Raw genomic sequence first — 5,090 nt, 5'->3', positions numbered from 1 at the left:
CATTTGTGGGCTTGATTAGTTTGGAATGTCCAAGATGGCTCACTCAGATGGCTGACATTTGATGTTTGCTACTGGCTGCTGGCTATTGGCTGGGAGCCCACCTGGAGCTATTAGCCAAAGCTTACTTACATGGTGGCTACTTTATATGTGGCCTCTCCACGTGGCTTGGGCTTCTCAGAACATGGTAGCTGGATTCTGAGAGAGAGCATCCCAAGAGTGAGCTCGAAGAGGTAAAATTGGAAGCTGTCAACTGGCATGATGCCCACTTCTGCCACATTCTTTTGGTTAACCGATTCACAGATTCAACCCAGAGATAAGAGGAGGGGAAAAATATTCCACTGCTCAGTGCAAATAATCACAAAGATTTTATGGTCATTTAAAAACTATCACAAGTGCCAACAGAAATCAGAAGCAAAGCACAATGCAACCAGTTCAAATTTTAAACATAATTACCAGTAATTTTTCTCAAGCTGCGAAGATTCAAAACTATGCAATTCACCCATTTTAAAGTTTGAGACCAAAGTTTTTCTTTGAAAGCTTCATTAAAAACAAATCATAAAATTACTATGTAGAAAGACCTGAGAAGTATTATATTTAAACATAAACAGTATAAAATATTGGTTTTCTTTCAACAAAGAATTTTTAAAAATCAATGACATTATTGTGCATAGTACATTTGTTTTCTTTTAACATGTAAAAACAGACTCCATTAACAATTACAGATCTAGCATTTGCAGTTTCAGCTGCTTGCAAATGGCTCTGAAAGTCATGGAGCATTTGAATTACAAGCTTTGAGGCTGATGTGTAGTGCCATCAGATCACTTATCTTGTGAGTGAGCTTAGTTTTCTATCTGGCATTTGCAACTTTTTGGAATTTGTTTTATTCTACATGTTATCATTTGTATTAATAAGTGATTAAATTTGTTTCTTTGTGGTAAATAATTCTCAAGAGGAAAAAAATATGTTACAGAGCCAAACTGACAGTAGAAAGCCAGAAGCCTGTACAAAGGTTGACATACTCATGAATATGAGTGGTTCAACATGGTGAAACCCTGTCTCTACTAAAAATACAAAAATTAGTTGGGCGTGGTGGCATGCACCTGTAATCCCAGCTACTTGGGAGGCTGAGGCAGGAGAATTGCTTGAATCTGGGAGGTGGAGGATGCAGTGAGGTGAGATCACGCCACTGCGCTCCAACCTGGGTGACAGAGCAAGACTCTGTCTCAGAAAAAAAAAAAAAGTCTCTGAGATCACTAATGTCAAGAATCCAGTGTACTATACAAGGGGACTTCAAACAGTTTTTGAAAGATGAAATTAAAAGATAAAAATTAAAAATGTAAACATATTTCTCAAAATAACTCCATCATGCTCAAGACAGTTTTGTAAGCAATGATAGCCACTTAGTCCACCCCTAAAGAACTGAGAATCCTGGAAATTTAACCAAGTCAATGCAGTCTTTTTTACATAATTAACTGAAGAAAAATAGGTGCCTTTTCAAGATTTTTTAGGATTTGAAAACAAAAGGAAGTCAGAAGGGGCAAAATCAGGACTGTAAGGCAAAAACCTAGTGATTTCCCATTGAAACTTTTGCAAAATTTTCCGTTTGATGAGAGGAATGAGCATGAACATTGTCATGGTAGAGGACTCTGCTGAAGCTTTTCCAGGCATTTTTTTTTAAACTAAAGCCTTGGCTAACTTTCTTAAAACACTCATAATAAGCAGATCTAATTGTTCTTTGGCCCTTCAGACAGTCAACAAGCAAAATGCCTTGGGCATCCCTGAAAATTTTTGCCATGACCTTTGCGCTTAACTGGTCTGCTTTTGCTTTGACTGGACTACTTCCATCTCTTAGTAGCCATTGCTTTGATTGTGCTTTGCCTTTTGGATTGTACTGGTAAAGCCGTATTTCATTTCCCATTACAATTCTTCAAAGCAATACTTCAGGATCTTCAGCCACATCCTTTTTTTTTTTTTTTTTGAGACAGAGTCTCACTCTGTTGCCCAAACTGAAGTGCAGCAGCAGCAGCACAATCTTGGCTCACTGCAAGCTCTGCTTCCTGGGTTCAGGCAATTCTCATGCCTCAGCCTCCTGAGTAGCTGGAACTATAAGCATACGCCACCATGCCTGGATAATTTTTGTATTTTTAGTAGAGATGGGGTTTCACCATGTTGTCCATGCTGATCTCGATCTCCTGACCTTGTGATCTACCCACTTTGGACTCCCAAAGTGCTGGGATTATAGGTGTGAACCACTGCAAACATTTTTATCATTTTTTTCTAAAAAATTGATGTGGGTGGTCTGCCGCCGTGAGTTTCATCTTCAGCTTGTCTTGTTCCTTTCTAAAAGGACTGATCCATTTGTAAACTGCTGATTTCCTTGGGGCATTGTCCCCATAAACTTCCCGTAAAGCATCAGTGATTTCACCATTCTCCCACCCATGCCCCACCATAAAGTCGATGTTTGTTTCGTTTCAATTTCAGTAGCATGTTGCTCTGATAGGGATCTTTTTAAAACTGATGTCTTATTCTTTTTACTACCTCAAACTAGATCTTGTTCAGACATGTTGTAACAAGCTGGTACAAGTTTATTTTGGTGCAAAATAATCTTAAAATCCATATACACATTTTTCATAGTGCACTTTTTTTTGTTTTTGAGACAGGGCCTCTGCTCTGTTGCCCAGGCTGGTGTGCACTGGTACAATCATAGCTCCCTGCAGCCCTGATCTCCTGGGCTCGAGCAGTCCTCCAGCTTCAGCCTCCTGAGTAGCTGGGACAACAAGTATGCACCACCATGCCTGGCTAATTTATTTGATTTTTAGCGGAGACAAGGCCTCGCTATGTTGTCCAGGCTGCTCTCAAACTCCTGGGTTCGAGCAATCCTCCTGCCTTCGCCTCCTGAGTAACTAGGACTACAGGCACATGCCACTGCATCTGGCTGACTTAGGTATTTATTTATGGAGGTGGAGTTCTCGCTTTGTTGCCCTTGTGCTGAGATTGCAGGTGTGAGCCACCATGCCTGACCTGTTCAACTTTTATCTGCCAGATACTGCATCATGCCAGTTACAGAGATCAAAGACTCAATCAGTCTTCGAGAAGCTACATCGTTGTACAGATAATAAGCAATAAAACAAAACAAAATTATAAATCAAGCAGGACTCAGGGTTCTGGCTTCTGCAGCCGAATAAGTAGCTAAGATATACAGATAGATGAGATTTGGGGAGTATCAGTTTGGTTTGGAGTATATTAAATCATGAGGGACTCATGGGATATCAAGTTGGAGATGTCTAATGTCTAACTTGGAAGTGGGCCTTACGAGGGGTCACAGCTAGACATGTTGTCATTGGCATATAGTCATTGGCAGTTAAAGCCACGAGGGTGAATAATGTTTTTCCCCAGAGGGAAATAAAAAGAAGTAAAATGTGTTTCACTTGGTTTGATTTGGGGGTTAGGGGGTTGGTTTTTGTCTTTATTTTTTCCTCTTCTTAAATGTTTGATGGAAGGCTTGTAATAGAACTGAATAGCATGAGGAAGTGAGACTGAATTCACTGAAGCTCGGATAGAGTATAGGAGATTTTTGAATGAGAAAAGACCCTTAGCCAGTGGAAGCTGGGTGGTTAAGTTTCATGTGGTAGCTTCCTTCAAGGAGCACACAGGAAAATCTTTTCACGGAGAGACACCTAAGGAGCTGAGGACAGTTTAGCCTGACTGGAAGAATACAGGCAGTGCTACAATATGAAAAATGCTGAATACTTTTAGAACTAGTCGTAACTAATGGGAGCTCTACACTGAATGACATTTCCCATTCTTGTGAAGAAGAGGATGCTACTTTTTGCATTTAGGATTTTCTACAGTGCTTTGAGCAGACTAGAAGATGTGAGGATGGAAGTCTTCCAGTCTTCCACATGTTAAAACAGAAAGGAAAGTGGGGGACCTTTGTTGTTTTGTGTTTTCTACAGTGCCTTGAGTAGTGCCTTGCACAGAATAAACACTCAGTTTATATTTTAATATGAATTGATGGCATTTATTAGCTAGGAATTGGCCATCAAGATACTTATTGATAAAAGAAACTCCTTGTATTAGCTAGCTAAAAAATGAAAGAATGGATATAATTTTGCTCTTTTCATATAAGAATTACCTATTCTTTAACCTGTATAATTTTTTCCAGTTGCTTAGTGCTTTTGCAGCACTCATTTTTAGTGTAATGTGTTTCGTGTTTCTTAGGAATGTGGTGGACCACCTTGGTCAGCAGAAGGGAAAATAGGGGTAGCAGTAAGATCCACTAAAAAGAGTGTAATAATTTTTAGTGTGGCTGTTTCCTTCCTTTTTTTCACCATTTCTTCCCTTCCCTTCTTCCTCCTCATAAACCCTTTCCCCCTCCCCACAAGAAGACAATACATGTTAGCAACTTAATATGAATTCTGCCATACTTTTCCTCTATGGTCATAAACCATAAATGTGGCACACACATGTATATGTGTTTGTGTGTGTGTATCCATATATGTAATGGTGTTTTTGTGGCACTGTTGAACAAATGGTAATGTATACACATTTTTTTTTTTCTGTATCTTACCTTTCTCATTCAATAATATCTTCTGGATATTCCTCCAAATCCCATTTCATCTTTCCCCTGTGGCATCCACTTTATGCTCAGGGTTTTGCTACTAGAACATTGAGGTCCTTATAGATATTTTTAACATAATCATACTTTTATTTCTTTGGAATAAATTCCCATGAGTAGAATTGTTGGGCTGAGGAGTATATGTATTTTTAATTTTAATAGATTTATCAGAGTGATTTTCAAAAAGATTATAATGCTTAATGCTCCCACTAGCAACTTATGAAAGTACTTTTCCTTCACTTTCTCACCAGAAACGATCAACAATTTTCATAGGTTCTCTTAATTTTTGCTAGTCTGATAGGAATAAAGTTTCATTCTTACTTTAACTTGCATTTCCCTGAGAGCTAATGAATTTGAACACTTTTCATATGTTTGTTGGCTATTTCAATTTGTTCTTCTGCTATCTAACTTTATGGAGTTGTTTTTCTTTTTTTATTGTCAATTTGTAAGAGCTCTTTTTCATATTCTTGTG

General features: G+C 38.5%; 1 annotated feature.

Annotated features, from left to right (window-relative positions):
* Positions 1,927-3,126: an enhancer, noted in NCBI's record as "MED14-independent group 3 enhancer chr4:39168330-39169529 (GRCh37/hg19 assembly coordinates)". NCBI's record gives its function as "activates an origin of replication core promoter dependent on BRD2, BRD4, P300/CBP and CDK7 cofactors, and independent of MED14, by STARR-seq in HCT116 cells {active_cell/tissue: HCT116}" and the evidence as "EXISTENCE:reporter gene assay evidence [ECO:0000049][PMID:35650434]".

The sequence above is a fragment of the Homo sapiens genome, chromosome 4 (assembly GCF_000001405.40).
Source record: "Homo sapiens chromosome 4, GRCh38.p14 Primary Assembly".
In the NCBI taxonomy this organism is placed as follows: Eukaryota; Metazoa; Chordata; class Mammalia; order Primates; family Hominidae; genus Homo; species Homo sapiens.
The sequence above is the reverse complement of the archived record's forward strand: the minus strand, read 5'-3'. Positions and strand labels throughout refer to the sequence as shown.